The following is a 19,064-nucleotide window of genomic DNA, read 5'->3' as shown; positions in this document are numbered from 1 at the left end:
CTACCTGGCCAGACAGCTGAACTGTTTTCATTTTTTTTCTTCTTCAGTAATAAATCTGCCAACCCTGCAGGGCTCGAGCCAAGGGCTTGCTTGCTGCATCTACACAGAGGTCTCATAAAAATGGTATAAAACAAAAGAGAAAAATGCATATTTCACACTTTGTCTGTTCTAGGTGATGGCGATTTTCAACTCATTCCCGTTACAAACAGCCGACCTTCCTACCGAGTTCAAGTACCTTCTGCCTGGCCTGGAAGAACAATATCTCTCTGTCTCCCTCTTCCACTGGCCCTCACCTGCCTTCCCCTGAACATGCATTTTGCCTGACAGGAGACAGAGGCAGTTGGTAAGTATACTACGCTGGCTTAGTGCTTTCCAGAAGGGAGGTGGCGTGAAAGACCCCAGTGCTCAAGTGTTCACGACGGACTCACACAGGCTGGAGACAGACGCCTCCATCCTCCTGCACACAGTCCTGTGCCTGCTTCTGCAGTGACTCCCTCTCCCTCTGTGGAAACACATGAGGAATACAGGAATAAGGGTTATCTTCTACTGAAGCCTGCCTAGTGTTTATTACAGGTAATTTTCAACTATGATCAAATCTCCAACGTTATTAGCTTGGTTAATGTTCAGCAGAAACAAACAACCTTTCCAACTTTATCTGCCTCCCTTCCCCTTTACAAATCTGCACATCCTTCAAAACGGTCGCTTTAGACTTCCCAGACAGCCTACTTTTGTTCCCATCTCCTGGCTGTTCACACCTGTAATTTTCCTGCATTGAGTCTGCTCCTCCTGACTCTGTTCTGTCCAGCTCAGTTCAGTCTACTTTCAAGGTCCACTTCCTCCTGAAACCTTCCTGGATTGCCCCCAGCCTATAGTACTCTCTCTTTACCTGGGACTCAGTCAGGAGTTACAGCTCACATCATTCTCTTCCTGGGTTGTCAATCATATACTGCTTTTTTGACAGTTTAAAAAAAGCTATTATCATTTTTTTCTACTTAACCGTCATTTTCTTTTTTGCTTAAAATAATTTTCCTTTATTTTAATTTAATTTAATTAATTTATTTTTTGAGATGGGGTCTCACTCTGTTGATCAGGCTGGAGTGCAGTGGCGTGATCCCTGCTCACTGTAGCCTCGACCTCCTGGGCTCAAGTGATCCTCCCACCTCAGACTCCCAAGTAGCCAGGACTACAGGTGCATGCCACTACACCCAGCTGATTATTTTGTACTTTTGTAGAGATGGGTCTTGCTATGTTGCCCAGGCTGGTCTTGAACTCTTGGGCTCAAACCATCCTCCCATCTTGGCCTTCCAAAGTGCTGGGGCTACAGGTGTGAGTCACTGTGCTGAGCTTATGAATGTTTCTTATTTCTCTATTAGACTATGAGGTCTTACCTATATTTCTGTCCTTTACAGTGCCAAACACATCATTTTTACTGTTTACAAAACAGGTGCTTAGTGAATGCTTGTCAAAAAAAAAAAAAAGGAATGAATGAAAATTCCCACTTGGGGTGTGGGTGTGGCTTTGATGTTGTGGCCTTCTCTTTCTTCACTGGAGTAACAAGCAAGACAATTCCCACTTCCAGGGCACGGGTCTAGCCTTGACTTGCAGAGATGCTGCCTGTTGGATGTCCCGTCTTGTTTGGACGACGCTGGATATTAGGTGGCTGTTGAATGTCAGTGACAGTCCCAGCACTTTCTGTATAGACCCTGAGATTTCCTTGTAGTAACCACATAGACTGTTGAGATTTTATGGTAGTGAGAAAAAACTAGTGATTCTCTTACTGTGTCCCCCTCCCTCTGCACCTATCCCACTCCTTTTTACATCCCTGTGTGCTCCCCACAGGCAGTCTGTATTTAATTTAGAGTAGGGAATTACTAATCGAATTTTCCTTCCAGTGTGTGGAGCGCCGCCGCCGCTGCCTGCCATCTTGCTACGCCTTTGTTTTGTGCTTCCCACCTCAAGGCCACTGTACAAATGTGTTTGATTTGTGGTTGTGGTTTGTAGCTGTCACTGATTTCTTTTTTGTTGTTGTTGTTGCTGTGGCTGCAACTGTTTCCTTGCAGCTCAATTTTTAGCTGAGTGTTTGGGTAGTAAATATGGTTTACACCAACTGTGTTGGAAATAATGGCATTTATGTGCTGAAGTTTTTTCCAAAACCTGTGATGTGTGTATACAAATAGATCCACGGCAGGGCCCCTAGACTGGGGAGAACACAGACTCAATAAAACCTTTGAGATGGAGTATAAACAGGTGTCTGAGACTAGGGCTAGGCCAGGCGGTTCAGAAAAATACCCCCCACCCCTGATGTTGGCTCTAAACTTAAGCTCTACCATAAATACCTTGCTTAGCGTTGGGGGAGGTAGGAGATATTTTTGTGATCGTATTTATCTGCTAAATGTTCGCTTGTATCCTTTTGAGCATCTCACTATAAACTTCGCAATTTTTCTATTCACTCACCCTCAATGGCTTTAAACCTTAACTGCCCTGGATCTTAGTATTGGAAAAAAATGTGCCAAGAAACAATGGGATTGGCCTATGAAACTGGCAGCCCTCTTTTCTTCCAAATAGTTGCCAGTCTGGGGGTTCTTTGGTTTATGGGGTGAATCTAACCATTTTGAACAATGCCTTTTAAACTGTATCATGTGACTTTGCTAATCCCAACCTTGGGCAGGGAGTACAGAGTTAGAGAACTCTAAGAGGGGGGAGTCAGGCTGCTCTTGGTAGATGTGGCTCTACCCTCTGAATTTGGGTGGAGTGGGTTTCTTTGATGCCTAGATTCTTTTATTTTTCCCTTTTTTTTTTTTAAGAGACAGAGTCTTGCTCTGTCACCCAGGCTGGATTGCAGTGGCATGATCATAATTCACTGCAGCCTTGAACTCCTTGGCTCAAACAATCCTGCCTTAGCCTCTTGAATAGCGGGGACTGTAGGTGTGTACCACCACTCCTGGCTAATACTGTTTTTAAATTCTTTTTGTAGAGATGGAGTCTTGCTATATGGCCCAGCTGGTAATGCCTAGATTCTTGAGTCCCTCCCTGGCTCATCCCTGGGAGCAGCACTGAACCCCTTGTCTGACACCTGTCTGGAAATGGAGCCTGCACATTGACCCTAGGTAAAGATCTCATTTGCTAAGAGGTCAGGAGGGACTTCAAAGCTGTCTCGGCTCTCTGTGCTGAAGGCTGCATGACAAAGGCAGAGGAAGGGTGTTTCGATTGTTCTCCAACTTGTAAATGCCAAGCAGAAATCTTGTTGCAGTTCCTAAATGCCATATTTTGGTGTGTTTATTGTTTCCCCCGCTAACGGGGAAAGATGGTGAATGGACTAATAATTCAGGAGCCGAGAACATGTTTATTTGATTTTTAGAGCTTTAGCAAATACAGTGTGTACAAAACCCAGTGCCAACAGCATGCATAATTCCTCCAGGAATGGGGCTGATAGGAACACAAAGCTTGCACGCTTCAAAACTGTAACCAATATTTACACATCTGAGTGACTAATTCTCTACTCTGAGCAGAAGAACAATAGGCATAATAGTCAGGTACATTAATGCAGAGTGTGCTCGTCTGGTGACTTGGATATTTGACACATAAACAAAGTTGTGGGGGTGCCACTGGGGGGAGAAGTGGAGGCTTTTTATCTACCTGTGTAACCATACACCAAACAGCAGGTTACAAACACACTCAGAAAATGCTGACCCAATGCCGTTCTTGTACCTCATATGCAGGATTGGCATATGATTTGCAGCGCTGCGGGAGTTCTGTAGCTGACCTCATTAGCAGCGCGTTTCCTGGCTTGTTAGCATCATATTTGTATAATTTACAGCACCTTCGTTTTTATGGAATGTGTTTCTTGTAGAGTGTAATGGCAGCAATATATTTAACCTATCGTATTTAGGAATGCTTTTGCTGGAGGCAGCCTGCAGATAGAAAGGGGACATTTTCTCCTCTCCTGCATGGGCCTTTTTTTGTTTTGTTTTGTTTGGTTTTGGCTTTTTAGCTGTCCCGTGTGTGTGTGTGTGTGTGTGTGTGTGTGTGCGTGTGTGTTGCATACATGTGTGCATGCTTTTGTGTATATACACATTTTCAAGTGTGAGTTTGCATACATGCATGCTTGTTTATGTATGTGTGTGCATATTTATCTGTGTATGCACGTTTGAAAGGGCCTGAAAGACACAAAGGGGCCCTAAAGGTGTGACTTCTGCTTCCAAGTTCAGAGGCTACTTTCAAGGACTCTCTTGACTCCCTGGCCAACATGTGCCTTTGGACTGTGAAGACCTCACAGTCCTAGATGCCTTGCTTTGAGAGGATGACATTGCAAAATGGGAAAGGAGCCAGGCAGGTTAGATATTTGGGAATAATGTTTTGGAGAGGGAGTAGGGGTGCTGTGAAGACGCTAATAAGGAAGGCAGAGCACTAAGGCGAGTTCTCCAGTCTCCGTGACCTCCTGGGGGCTTTGTAGAAAACAGTAAGATGGAAAAATGGAAAGTACATGTCACTCAGGGACAGATTCTGCCCCAACTGAATACTTGTCTTAGAAAAACATAGAGCCTGTGGATAGGAATGTGTACATTCTTCTCCTCTTAGAGACATGTAGGAAAGGTAGAAATGGCTGGAACCAAATACTTGAAAAGGGGTTAATGTGTTAATTTGGAGATCTCCAGGGGAAACCTTGGCCCAGGAGTCAGGAGTTCAGATCCCAGCCTCAGCCTGCTGCTGACGTGGCTGCATGACCTTGGGCAAATTGCTTCCCCATCTTGGGGCACAGTGTCCTTGTTTACAAAATGATGGGACTGGACTGGATGGTGATTCTCTAGAAGTGATGTTTTAATGCTCCCAGCCACTTGCCTATTCTGTTCCCGAAGGCAAATAAAGACAGAAGACTGGGGTTCCCATCAACCACATCGTCCGAGCTGTGTTCTTGAGGTTGACTTGCAGTGACCCAGAAGAGAGAAACACGGCTCTCCAGGAACTGTCAGTGTGTCTTAGTTCCATCTCCTGACAGGGGGCAAAAAGTGTGAATAGACTAATAATTCAGAAACCAAAGGCATGGCAGGGTGATTTTTAGAGCTTAAGTAAAAACTGGCACCAGAGCATGCATAGCTGCATATTTCCTTCCCATAATCACTTCTTGGCCTCAAAAAGAAACTCACTCCAGGGGCAAGACAAATAGGTGGGCCCTGGACTTTGTCAACCCACAATAGAATGATAAGAAATTAAAAGAATCTATTAAAATGACTCGAGGCACAGGGATAAGGCTTATCCAACTGGCTGGTCAGGTTGGGGTTCTTTGCATCTTCCCTCCATCCCTAGCTTTGGAAATTTCAGAAATATTTCTTTGACTGCTATCTTTTTCAATCCTATACCTCTTATCACTGACTACAAAGGCTCTGGGTTCTTGATTTTACTTAATAGATATGCCCCTAAAACATCAGAGTGGCTGGATTCTATGGTAATAATTCATAGAATTCAAATGCTAACAATTCAAAATGTCAAGTTGATATCCCAAATTTGAATGTAAGTTTATATTAAATTTTAAATGCACCAGGGTTGCTGACTATTTGAAGGTACCCAGTGATGAATTCTTTGGCAAAGAAAAATAATTGGCTGGGCTCGGTGGCTCACGCCTGTAATCCCAGCACTTTGGGAGGCTGAGGCGGGTGGATCACCTGTGGTCAGGAGTTTGAGACCAGCCTGGCCAACATGGCGAAACCCTGTCTCTACTAAAAATATAAAAATTAGCTGGTCATGGTGGCACATGCCTGTAATCTCAGCTACTTGGGAGGCTGAGGCAGGAGAATCACTTGAACCTGGGAGGTAGAGGTTGCAGTGAGCTGAGATTGTGCCTTGGCACTCCAGCCTGGGTGACAAGAGTGAAACTACATCTAAAAAAAATAAAAATAAAAATAAAAAAGCTTTGTAAAGTCTCTAGTTTTTAACTGAATCCTGAAATATTTATTGAGCACCTATGAAGTACTCGGGAGTCAGATAAAAACTATCAAATTCTTGCCTTCAAGAGGCTCTTAATCTAAATGTCGAATTGGGAATGGCAAGCATTTTGCATATACACATTAATATAGATAATAAAATGTGGACAGTTTCAGCATCCAGCATCCACTGATTAGGGTGTTTTCAAAATTCTATAAGAGAGAGTTTACTATTATAAATGTTTGTTCAAAAACTCTTATTAGTCCCACTTGACTGATTTGGTAACTAGCTTGTCTAAAGTGAAGATTAAAAAAAAGGTTTTTGCTTATACACTGCTGTTAGGAATGTAAATTACTTCAGCCATTGTGAAAAGCAGTATGGCAATTTCTCAAATAACTTAAAACAGAATTACCATTCAACTCAGCAATCCCATTACTGGATATATACTCAAAGGAATATAAATAGTTCTACCATAAAGACACATGCATGTGTATGTTTATTGCAGCACTATTCATAATAGCAAAGACATAGAATGAGCCTAAATGCCCGTCCATGGTAGACTGGATAAAGAAAATGCGGTATATATACACTATGGAATACTATGCAGCCATAAAAAAGAATGAGATCATGTCCTTTGCAGCAACATGGATGCGGCTGGAGACCATTATCCTAAGAGAACTAACGCAAGAGCGGAAAACCAAATCCTGCATGTTCTCACTTATAAGTGGGGGCTAAACGTTGAGTACACACATGGACACAAATAAGAGAATGATAGACACTGGGGGCTGCTGTAGGGTGGAAGGCGGAAGGAGGGTATGGTTTGAAAAAGCCCTATTGGGTACTATTCTTATTACCTAGTTGATGAAATAATTGTACACCAAACTGCTGTGACATGAAATTTACCTATATAATCAATCCGCATGTGTACTCCTAAACCTAAAATAAAAGTTAAAAAAAGAAGTTGTTAATCTGCACTCAGATTAGAGGAGTGGATACGTAGTTGGATAAACTCCTTCCCCTCTGTTAAGATAGAAGTGATCTTTTTTACCCTCTCTGTGGCCAGTTCCTCCACTTTGGATCACTAGATCATCCCATTCTTTCTCACCCCTTGTGATCTGGAACTACAGATTGCACGCATGCTCTCCTTTCTCATTAGCACTTAAACATGGCCAAACTGCTCCCATCTTAAAAATCATGTTCCTGCCATAATCTCTAGATTTACTACCTCTTTCTATCTGTTTCCAGCCACACTTTCTGAATGACCGTGTCATAGTCATCACTGCAGGTACTTTGCAGTCCACTTGGATGTGGCTTCTGTCCTTTACCAATGTCTCTGAAATTGTTCCCCAGGGTCACCAAAGAGCTGCAAGACACTAAATCTTACAGGTGCTCATCTTGTGGGCCCCCTTGCTAGCATGTGATCACTCTCTTCTGGAACATCACTTTCTCCTGGGGTCTGCTTGCCTTTTGGTTCACTTGTCAGTTTACTTCTTTAGCTTGGGGTTTGGTCCCTGACACCTTGTTGGAGTCCTTAAGGTTTTGACCAAGTCTCTCCTTTCTCTATTTTCCCCCTTGTCTAGACAATGTGTCTACATGCCACAACTTCAATGGCCTTTTGAAGGCTGCAGACTCTCCAACTCTCATGAGCCTCTCCTCCAACTTTCTACTAGGCAGCTCTTCTTGACTCCTTTGCCGTACCAAAGAGAATACACAGTACAATGGTTCAAATTAAGACTAGTTTAGTTTTCTTTCACATCGTAGTCCAGAATTCCTGGGCTTTCCAGGGAGACCAAGTGGGTCCATGAAGTTGCCCAGAGATTTAGTTTTTTTTTTTTTTGTCTTGTGACTTCACCATTTAAAGTATTACACTTTTCCACATAGAGAAAGATGTCTTGAATGCACTGTTTCCAGCACGTTCAAAGTGGGAGAGGAAGCTGAAGGCAATCCGCTTCCTCTTAAGAAAGTGACTCAGTAGGCCGGGCGTGGTGGCTCATGCCTGTAATCCCAGCACTTTGGGAGGCTGAGGCGGGTGGATCACCTGAGGTCAGGAGTTCGAGACCAGCCTGGCCAACAGCTGAGTTAGGCAACAGCTAAGTTAGGCAATGTGGTATTACCTGGGTGACTGAGTAGTCAGTTAAAACCTGGGATGTTCTATTTTGAAAATGAAAAATAGAAGGCCCTAGGCGTTATCAACCCAATGATAGAATAATAAGAAATTAAGTAAATCTATTAAAATGACCCAAGGAAAATGACAGGGATGAAGTTTGTCTGATTGGCTTGTAAGGCCAAGGTTCTTTGCACCTTCTCACCTGCTCTCCCTGGCATGGCCAGAAACTCAGGACTATGCTGTGCAAGAGAAGTACACTTCAGTCTTATTTGAGCCATTATATTGTGTATTGTCTCTGGTATTGCAAAGCAACCACGTGGCACTGCCTAATAGAAAGTTGGAGACAGAGACTCAGGTGAGCTGAGTGTCTACAGCACATATAACCCGCAGTCCCTCAGAATGATTATTGGGAGGACGGTTAGCTTCCTCTGCCACAGGCACCTCACGCTTAACATCTCCAAGACTCACCTCATTATTTTCCCCCTCAAACCTGCTGCTTCTATGATTCGATCATACTCTCAGTAAGTATCCTCATCACATACCCAGTCGCTCAAACCAGAAACTTGGAATCATTCTTGAGTTCTCTCTTTCCCTCACTGCTGCATATCCAATCTTTCTCCAACCCTAGTCACTCATACCTCTGAAATTTTTTTTATTCTATTTTATTTATTTATTTTTTGAGACAGGGTCTCACTCTGTCACCCAGTCTGGAGTGCAGTGGTGTGATCATGGCTTACTGCAGCCTCAAACTTCTGGGCTGAAGTGATCCTCTAGCCTCGGCCTCTCAAAGTCCTGGGATTACAGGTGCGTGCCACTGCACCTGGTCTTAAATATTTGTAGATTCACACACTTCTGTCTACCTTGTTGTTACCAGCTTAGTCCAAGACATCATTCCTGTTTTTTGGATCATTGCAAAAGTTCTTAACTGACCTTCCTACACTTAGTCTTGACCCTTCAGATCTATTTTCCATTTCATTGTCAAAGTTCCATTATAAAAATGGAAACGTGATCATATTCCTCCTGTTTCATATCCTTCAGTGGCTTTTCCTTAACCTCAAATTCTTCATGTGCTCTAGAGGACCTCGCATGATCTGGCCTCTACCAGTCTCTCCAGGGTTATCTCATGCCTCCCTGACCTTGGTTCTCTCCAGTCCTAACACTCTGGGTTGATTGCAGTTCCTACAGTCAGTAATGTTAGCACTTGATTCTGCTCTGTCAAATACACTACTCTCTCTTTTGGAGCACTCTTCTTGTCTCCCTCTCTTGCTTGTTAACTACTATTTAATTTAAAAGCTGAGTTTAGGGATGATTTTCTCAATGAGACCTTCCTCCTTCCTGCTGGGGCCGTCTCCTTGGTCTGTGCTCCTACTGCCCCTTGTCATTCATCTTTACTAACACTGATCTAGCCAATAATTCAATGACGGGGATCTGTATTTGCGACTGTATTGTAAGCTCCAAGAAGGCTGGGTTACCTTCTTTATTTGATTAATAAGATATGTAAAAACATGCTACCTTCAAATAATTCCTTTATTTATTTACCCACTGTTACGTTAAGCAAAGTCTTTGTATAATGATGTATGGCTTACGTATTACAATTATAACAATAGCAGCTTCTGTTCATAAAATTATTACAAATGTACAGTGAAAGAAACAATTAGTAATAAACAGAAATGATATATAATACTTAATTGTAATAGTAGCTCACATTTATATATACTATTTTATAATTGTGATGCTTTTACTTACATAACTTTTTTTAAATTTTATTTTATTATTATTATACTTTAAGTTTTAGGGTACATGTGCACAATGTGCAGGTTAGTTACATATGTATACATGTGCCATGCTGGTGTGCTGCACCCATTAACTCGTCATTTAGCATTAGGTGTATCTCCTAATGCTATCCCTCCCCTCTCCCCACACCCCACAACAGTCCCCAGAGTATGATGTTCCCCTTCCTGTGTCCATGTGTTCTCATTGTTCAATTCCCACCTATGAGTGAGAATATGCGGTGTTTGGTTTTTTGTTCTTGTGATAGTTTACTGAGAATGATGATTTCCAATTTCATCCATGTCCCTATAAAGGACGTGAACTCATCATTTTTTGTGGCTGCATAGTATTCCATGGTGTATACGTGCCACATTTTCTTAATCCAGTCTATCATTGTTGGACATTTGGGTTGGTTCCAAGTCTTTGCTATTGTGAATAGTGCCGCAATAAACATACGTGTGCATGTGTCTTTATAGCAGCATGATTTATAGTCCTTTGGGTATATACCCAGTAATGGGATGGCTGGGTCAAATGATATTTCTAGTTCTAGATCCCTGAGGAATCACCACACTGACTTCCACAATGGTTGAACTAGTTTACAGTCCCACCAACAGTGTAAAAGTGTTCCTATTTCTCCACATCCTCTCCAGCACCTGTTGTTTCCTGACTTTTTAATGATTGCCATTCTAACTGGTGTGAGATGGTATCTCATTGTGGTTTTTATTTGCATTTCTCTGATGGCCAGTGATGGTGAGCATTTTTTCATGTTTTTTGGCTGCATAAATGTCTTCTTTTGAGAAGTGTCTGTTCATGTCCTTCACCCACTTTTTGATGGGGTTGTTTGTTTTTTTCTTGTAAATTTGTTTGAGTTCATTGTAGATTCTGGATATTAGCCCTTTGTCAGGTGAGTAGGTTGCGAAAATTTTCTCCCATTTTGTAGGTTGCCTGTTCACTCTGATGGTAGTTTCTTTTGCTGTACAGAAGCTCTTTAGTTTAATTAGATCCCATTTGTCAATTTTGGCTTTTGTTGCCATTGCTTTTGGTGTTTTAGACATGAAGTCCTTGCCCATACCTATGTCCTGAATGGTAATGCCTAGGTTTTCTTCTAGGGTTTTTATGGTTTTAGGTCTAACATTTATGTCTTTAATCCATCTTGAATTAATTTTTGTATAAGGTGTACGGAAGGGATCCAGTTTCAGCTTTCTACATATTGCTAGCCAGTTTTCCCAGCACCATTTATTAAATAGGGAATCCTTTTTCCATTGCTTGTTTTTCTCAGGTTTGTCAAAGATCAGATAGTTGTAGATATGCGGCGTTATTTCTGAGGGCTGTGTTCTGTTCCATTGATCTATATCTCTGTTTTGGTACCAGTACCATGCTGTTTTGGTTACTGTAGCCTTGTAGTATAGTTTGAAGTCAGGTAGCGTGATGCCTCCAACTTTGTTCTTTTGGCTTAGGATTGACTTGGCAATGTGGGCTCTTTTTTGGTTCCATATGAACTTTAAAGTAGTTTTTTCCAATTCTGTGAAGAAAGTCATTGGTAGCTTGATGGGGATGGCATTGAATCTATAAGTTACCTTGGGCAGTATGGCCATTTTCACGATATTGATTCTTCCTACCCATGAGCATGGAATGTTCTTCCATTTCTTTGTATCCTCTTTTATTTCATTGAGCAGTGGTTTGTAGTTCTCCTTGAAGAGGTCCTTCACATCCCTTGTAAGTTGGATTCCTAAGTATTTTATTCTCCTTGAAGCAATTGTGAATGGGAGTTCACTCATGATTTGGCTCTCTGTCTGTTATTGGTGTATAAGAATGCTTGCGATTTTTGTACATTGATTTTGTATCCTGAGACTTTGCTGAAGTTGCTTATCAGCTTAAGGAGATTTTGGGTTGAGACAATGGGATTTTCTAGATATACTATCATGTCATCTGCAAACAGGGACAATTTGACTTCCTCTTTTCCTAATTGAATACCCTTTATTTCCTTCTCCTGCCTTATTGCCCTGGCCAGAACTTCCAACACTATGTTGAATAGGAGTGGTGAGAGAGGGCATCCCTGTCTTGTGCCAGTTTTCAAAGGGAATGCTTCCAGTTTTTGCCCATTCAGTATGATATTGGCTGTGGGTTTGTGATAGATAGCTCTTATTATTTTGAGATACGTCCTATCAATACCTAATTTATTGAGAGTTTTTAGCATGAAGCGTTGTTGAATTTTGTCAAAGGCCTTTTCTGCATCTATTGAGATAATCATGTGGTTTTTGTCTTTGGTTCTATTTATATGCTGGATTACATTTATTGATTTGCGTATATTGAACCAGCCTTGCATCCCAGGAATGAAGCCCACTTGATCATGGTGGATAAGCTTTTTGATGTGCTGCTGGATTCGGTTTGCCAGTATTTTATTGAGGATTTTTGCATCAATGTTCATCAAGGATATTGGTCTAAAATTCTCTTTTTTTGGTTGTGTCTCTGCCAGGCTTTGGTATCAGGATGATGCTGGCCTCATAAGATGAGTTAGGGAGGATTCCCTCTTTTTCTATTGATTGGAGTAGTTTCAGAAGGAATGGTACCAGTTCCTCCTTGTACCTCTGGTAGAATTTGGCTGTGAATCCATCTGGTCCTGGACTCTTTTTGGTTGGTAAGCTATTGATTATTGCCACAATTTCAGCTCCTGTTATTGGTCTATTCAGAGATTCAACTTCTTCCTGGTTTAGTCTTGGGAGGGTGCATGTGTCGAGGAATTTATCCATTTCTTCTAGATTTTCTAGTTTATTTGCATAGAGGTGTTTCTAGTATTCTTTGATGGTAGTTTGTATTTCTGTGGGATTGGTGGTGATATCCCCTTTATCATTTTTTATTGCGTCTATTTGATTCTTCTCTCTTTTCTTCTTTATTAGTCTTGCTAGCGGTCTATCAATTTTGTTGATCCTTTCAAAAAACCAGCTCCTGGATTCAATAATTTTTTGAAGGGTATTTTGTGTCTCTATTTCCTTCAGTTCTGCTCTGATTTTAGTTATTTCTTGCCTTCTGCTAGCTTTTGAATGTGTTTGCTCTTGCTTTTCTAGTTCTTTTAATTGTGATGTTAGGGTGTCAGTTTTGGATCTTTCCTGCTTTCTCTTGTGGGCATTTAGTGCTATAAATTTCCCTCTACACACTCCTTTGAATGTGTCCCAGAGATTCTGGTATGTTGTGTCTTCGTTCTCTTTGGTTTCAAAGAACATCTTTATTTCTGCCTTCATTTCGTTATGTACCCAGTAGTCATTCAGGAGCTGGTTGTTCAGTTTCCATGTAGTTGAGCAGTTTTGAGGGAGTTTCTTAATCCTGAGTTCTAATTTGATTGCACCGTGGTCTGAGAGACAGTTTGTTTTAATTCTGTTCTTTTACATTTGCTGAGAAGAGCTTTACTTCCAACTATGTGGTCAATTTTGGAATAGGTGTGGTGTGGTGCTGAAAAAAATGTGTATTCTGTTGATTTGGAGTGGAGAGTTCTGTAGATGTCTATTAGGTCCACTTGGTGCAGAGCTGAGTTCAATTCCTGGGTATCCTTGTTGACTTTCTGTCTCGTTGATCTGTCTAATGTTGACAGTGGGGTGTTAAAGTCTCCCATTATTAATGTGTGGGAGTCTAAGTCTCTTTGTAGGTCACTCAGGACTTGCTTTATGAATCTGGGTGCTCCTGTATTTGGTGCATATATATTTAGGATAGTTAGCTCTTCTTGTTGAATTGATCCCTTTACCATTATGTAATGGCCTTCTTTGTCTCTTTTGATCTTTGTTGGTTTAAAGTCTGTTTTATCAGAGACTAGGATTGCAACCCCTGCCTTTTTTTGTTTTCCATTTGCTTAGCTCTGCACGTGAGATGGGTTTCCTGAATACAGCACACTGATGGGTCTTGACTCTTTATCCAATTTGCCAGTCTGTGTCTTTTAATTGGAGCATTTAGTCCATTTACATTTAAAGTTAATATTGTTATGTGTGAATTTGATCCTGTCATTATGACAGGATGTTAGCTGGTTATTTTGCTCATTAGTTGATGCAGTTTCTTCCTAGCCTCGATGGTCTTTACAGTTTGGCATGATTTTGCAGTGGCTGGTATTGGTTGTTCCTTTCCATGTTTAGTGTTTCCTTCAGGAGCTCTTTTAGGGCAGGCCTGGTGGTGACAAAATCTCTCAGCATTTGCTTGTCTGTAAAGTATTTTATTTCTCCTTCACTTATGAAGCTGAGTTTGGCTGGATATGAAATTCTGGGTTGAAAATTCTTTTCTTTAAAAATGTTGAATATTGGCCCCCACTCTCTTCTGGCTTGTAGAGTTTCTGCCAAGAGATCCGCTGTTAGTCTGATGGGCTTCCCTTTGTGGGTAACCCGACCTTTCTCTCTGCCCTTAACATTTTTTCCTTCATTTCAACTTTGGTGAATCTGACAATTAAGTGTCTTGGAGTTGCTCTTCTCGAGGAGTATCTTTGTGGTGTTCTCTGTATTTCCTGAATCTGAACGTTGGCCTGCCTTGCTAGATTGGGGAAGTTCTCCTGGATAATATCCTGCAGAGTGTTTTCCAACTTGGTTTCATTCTCCCCGTCACTTTCAGGTACACCAATCAGACATAGATTTGGTCTTTTCACATAGTCACATATTTCTTGGAGGCTTTGTTCATTTCTTTTTATTCTTTTTTCTCTAAACTTCTGTTCTCGCTTCATTTCATTCATTTCATCTTCCATCACTGATACCCTTTCTTCCAGTTGATTGCATCGGCTCCTGAGGCTTCTGCATTCTTCACGTAGTTCTCAAGCCTTGGCTTTCAGCTCCATCAGCTCCTTTAAGCACTTCTCTGTATTGGTTATTCTAGTTATATATTCGTCTAAATTTTTTTCAAAGTTTTTAACTTCTTTGCCTTTGGTTTGAATTTCCTCCTGTAGCTCGGAGTAGTTTGATCGTCTGAAGTCTTCTTCTCTCAACTCGTCAAAGTCATTCTCCGTCCAGCTTTGTTCCATTGCTGGTGAGGAACTGCGTTCCTTTGGAGGAGGAGAGGCGCTCTGCTTTTTAGAGTTTCCAGTTTTTCTGCTCTGTTTTTTCCCCATCTTTGTGGTTTTATCTACTTTTGGTCTTTGATGACGGTGATGTAGAGATGGGTTTTTGGTGTGGATGTCCTTTCTGTTTGTTAGTTTTCCTTCTAACAGACAGGACCCTCAGCTGCAGGTCTGTTGGAGTTTGCTAGAGGTCCACTCCAGACCCTGTTTGCCTGGGTACCAGCAGCGGTGGCTGCAGAACAGCGGATTTTCGTGAACTGCGAATGCTGCTGCTGATCGTTTCTCTGGAAGTTTTGTCTCAGAGGAGTACCTGGCTGTGTGAGGTGTCAGTCTGCCCCTACTGCGGGGTGCCTCCCAGTTAGGCTGCTCGGGGGTCAGGGGTCAGGGACCCACTTGAGGAGGCAGTCTGCCTTTTCTTAGATCTCCAGCTGCATGCTGGGAGAACCACTGCTCACTTCAAAACTGTCAGACAGGGACATTTAAGTCTGCAGAGGTTACTGCTGTCTTTTTGTTTGTCTGCACCCTGCCCCCAGAGGTGGAGCCTACAGAGGCTGGCAGGCCTCCTTGAGCTGTGGTGGGCTCCACCCAGTTCGAGCTTCCCGGCTGCTTTGTTTACCTAAGCAAGCCTGGGCAATGGCCAGCACCCCTCCCCCAGCCTCGCTGCCACCTTGCAGTTTGATCTCAGACTGCTGTGCTAGCAAGCAGCGAGACTCCGTAGGCGTAGGACCCTCTGAGCCAGGTGTGGGATATAATCTCCTGGTGCGCCATTTTTTAAGCCTGTTGGAAAAGTGCAGTATTAGGGTGGGAGTGACCCAGTTTTCCAGGTGCTGTCTGTCACCCCTTTCTTTGACTAGGAAAGGGAACTCCCTGACCCCTTGTGCTTCCCGAGTGAGGCAATGCCTCGCCCTGCTTTGGCTCATGCACGGTGCGCTGCACCCACTGTCCTGCACCCACTCTCTGGCACTCCCTAGTGAGATGGACCCGGTACCTCAGATGGAAATGCAGAAATCACCCGTCTTCTGCGTCGCTCACGCTGGGAGCTGTAGACCAGAGCTGTTCCTATTTGGCCATCTTGGCTGCCCTTCCTATTTATATAACTTTATTGATCCTCATGAGACTCTGTCGGAAATGTCAGGTGAATTATTTCCACTTTACAGGTGTAAAAACTGAGGCTTGGTGAAGTTAAGAGATTTAACCAAAGTCCTTGACTTAATCAATAAAGAAGCCAGAGCATGAGTCCAGATCTCTTGAGTTCAGAGCCAGAGTCCTGTCTACTGTGTCAGGCCTGACAGGGAATATGAAATACAACTATGCATATCTCTAGCTTCTGTGTCTGATACAGGCAGGCATTTGATAATTACTTGTTGAACAAATATATGTACAAATAGATATACCAGTAGATCTGACAATATTACTGCGATGTTACACCAACATGTAAGTCAACAATTATGGAGTAATAAACAGAAATAATAAAATACATTATACTATACAGGAGAGAGATGGAATCTGGCCAACAGACTAGGTAATTGCTCTTAAGTGAGTTCAAAGATCACTTTAAATAACTATGTGGGTGTGGGAGGTCTATATCTACATCTCAATAATCTTGAAACCACTGATGACGGGCTTGACAAAGGAGGTTTTATTATAACTTGGGACTTGATTGAAATGCAAGGTGTAAAATGTGTGAATAATACCCAGTTTGACTTTCCCTTATGCACAGGAAGAAACAGAAGGCTGCCGTCTCTGTCACTGGCTTGGGAAGGCTTAAATATTCTTCTGTTGAAACTTCATTTTCTCTCTAACCTCATCTGAGCATTGGAATGTGTTCTTGACTAAAGTGGGTACCAGGTGGCCATCTACAGAGCTTCTCCAGAATAGCCAGTGTATCCTTCTCTGGGTGGGGTATTTGGGGGTAGATAGCATATCCTTCTCTGGGTGGGGCATTTTGGGGTAGATAGCATATCCTTCTCTGGGTGGGGTATTTTGGGGTAGACAGCACCTCCATCAATAACATTGATTCCCCCAAGGGGAGACCTTAACTCTGGGAAGGTAAGAATTATCTTAAAGACCTACCATTCTGGTAATTCTAAGAGGGGAAAATTTGCCTGATCTGAGGGTCTTGCATTTTTAATTTTCTTGGTTAGTTTCAAGGTTAGCTACAGGTATGTAAAGCACCTAGTATATTTGTTGAACATAATATGAATAGGTGCTCAATAATTGGTTATAATTATGAAGATAATGTAGCCAACTATAAAGAAAGTGCATGGACATGGGTTGAAACCCAGTTTTGACACTTATTAGGTGGCAACATAGCTTCCCGATCATGAGCAAGTTAAACATTCTAATCTTAAGTTATTTCCAGCCATGAAAATAACAGTAGCCATTTTGAGTGAGGTTCTCTATTAGGTCTTGTATTCCTGTTATTTCTTAGCATTATAGCAGCTTTGAATGCTCAAGTTTATAGGTAAGGTAACTGAGGCTCAGAGACATTAGTGATTTGCCTTAGGATGTGGTCATTTAGCTAATGTCAAAGCTAGAGCTAAATCCAGGTCTGTCTGATTCCAACACCTGGTTATTTTCCACTTCATAACACTGCTTATGTGAAATAGAGATGACAAAAATGCTGAATTGTTGTGATGATTAGAGTCAGCACATGGCACACATTTGGCATTCAAAATAGTAGCTATCACTATTAATTGTGCCTTAGGTGGTACAGGACAATCTATATATTCATATTAACCAGAGTTGGAAGAGCTTTGACATGTACTATCCATTAGGACCGCTGGTTGGCATATAGTGGACACTCGATAAGTGCTTCTTAATGTGTTAAAGATGTTGCAATGTTCCATATTAAAGGTCAAGTAATGTCTGAATTTATAATTGGAGTCTGTCCTTTTGCACCCCCACCACATACAGCTCTTTCACCTGTGAAAGTTTTGTGAAACACAGTAGGACAAGGAATTATGAGAAGAGGTCTTGTTGAAATAGCTGACTTTTTTGGCCCCATCTCAAAATATATTGAGATAATTCAATTTCTTTATGGCTAAGCAGACTCTTATCAGACCAACCCTCTACAAACAGGCAATAACTTTAAACTCTAGGGAAAAAGTTTAAAATACCAGCTACCCAAAGGCACTGCAGAGTTAACAAAGGTGAGCAGATTCTCCAGGGATATTGATATTTGGAAGAAGGAAGAGTATGGGATAAGTTTTCCCCTTACTGAGGCCTTTGGCTGCAGTCAGCACCACATAGGGAAGTTAAAAACTTCTATAGAAAACCTGCAGTCTTTCTGGCCAGAAGAACCAGATGAGAGATTCGGGCAACGACAGCTGCTAAATATAAACTTCATGCAGATCTCTGGTGACCCTGAATCAAGCATGTATGGAGTACAATCCAAGAAGCTCAGCTAAAGATAGAAGAATTGAACTAAGATTTGAGTTGACACCCAAGAGACAGTTTGCAATCTGAGTCTAACAAAGCTAATTACCCACTATAACAACAACAACAACAATAACAACAACTCAACACTCTTCTGTGAAATATAACAGAATCCGGAGTAACCACAACACAACATTCACAATGTCCAGAATATAATCCAAAAATATTCAACACAGAAAGATCCAGGAAAATGTGAGCTATTTTCAACAGAAAACACTATCACTGAAGACTGATCCCTACTTGGTCTGAATGTTGGAATACATAGATAAGATTTCAAAGTAGTTATTATATGTACTCATTAACATCAGAGAAAATATGATTGAAATAAATTTAAAAAAATCTCAGTAGAGACACTATTAAAAAAACAAATAGAGCTGATAAGTAGAATATCTGAAGTGAAGATTCACTTAACGGATTTAAAAGCAGAATGGAGATGAAGCAGAAAGACTCAGTAAACTTGAAGATAGAGCAATAAAAAGTATGCAATCCTAAGAATAGAACAACAACAACAAAAAATCCCAAACAAATAACAAATGAATAGAATCTCAGATACCTGTGAGACAAAATAGAAATATCTAACATATGTTTAACAGAGTTCCAAAACAGGAGAGAGAATGGAGTAGGAAAAAATAATTTGAAGAAATAATCAGCAAAAGTATACTGAAAAATATGAAAATATAAAATATGAAAAATGAAATATATTGACCAAGTAGAGATTAGTCTTCACTGATTTCCCAAAGGTGATGAAAGACATAAATTTACACATTCAAGAATCTTAGCAAGCCTCAAGCAGGATAAATATGAAGA

General features: G+C 41.4%; 1 long non-coding RNA gene across 8 annotated transcripts in view; it reads left to right on the top strand.

The window, feature by feature from the left end:
- Positions 1 to 19,064, top strand: part of LINC01605 (long intergenic non-protein coding RNA 1605) — a 196,324-nt gene that overhangs the window by 123,655 nt on the left and 53,605 nt on the right. For 4 of the 8 annotated variants that reach the window (NR_170192.1, NR_170190.1, NR_170191.1 and 1 more), the window contains exons 2-3: positions 173 to 343; positions 2,975 to 3,107. This is a non-coding gene — a long non-coding RNA (long intergenic non-protein coding RNA 1605). The remainder of the gene's footprint in view (positions 1 to 172; positions 344 to 2,974; positions 3,108 to 19,064) is intronic. The other 4 variants (NR_170189.1, NR_170193.1, NR_170186.1 and 1 more) reach the window with 1 other exon arrangement.

This window comes from Homo sapiens, chromosome 8, assembly GCF_000001405.40.
Source record: "Homo sapiens chromosome 8, GRCh38.p14 Primary Assembly".
Lineage (NCBI taxonomy): Eukaryota > Metazoa > Chordata > Mammalia > Primates > Hominidae > Homo > Homo sapiens.
Note: the sequence above shows the minus strand (reverse complement) of the source record. Positions and strands in the feature narration are given on the sequence as shown.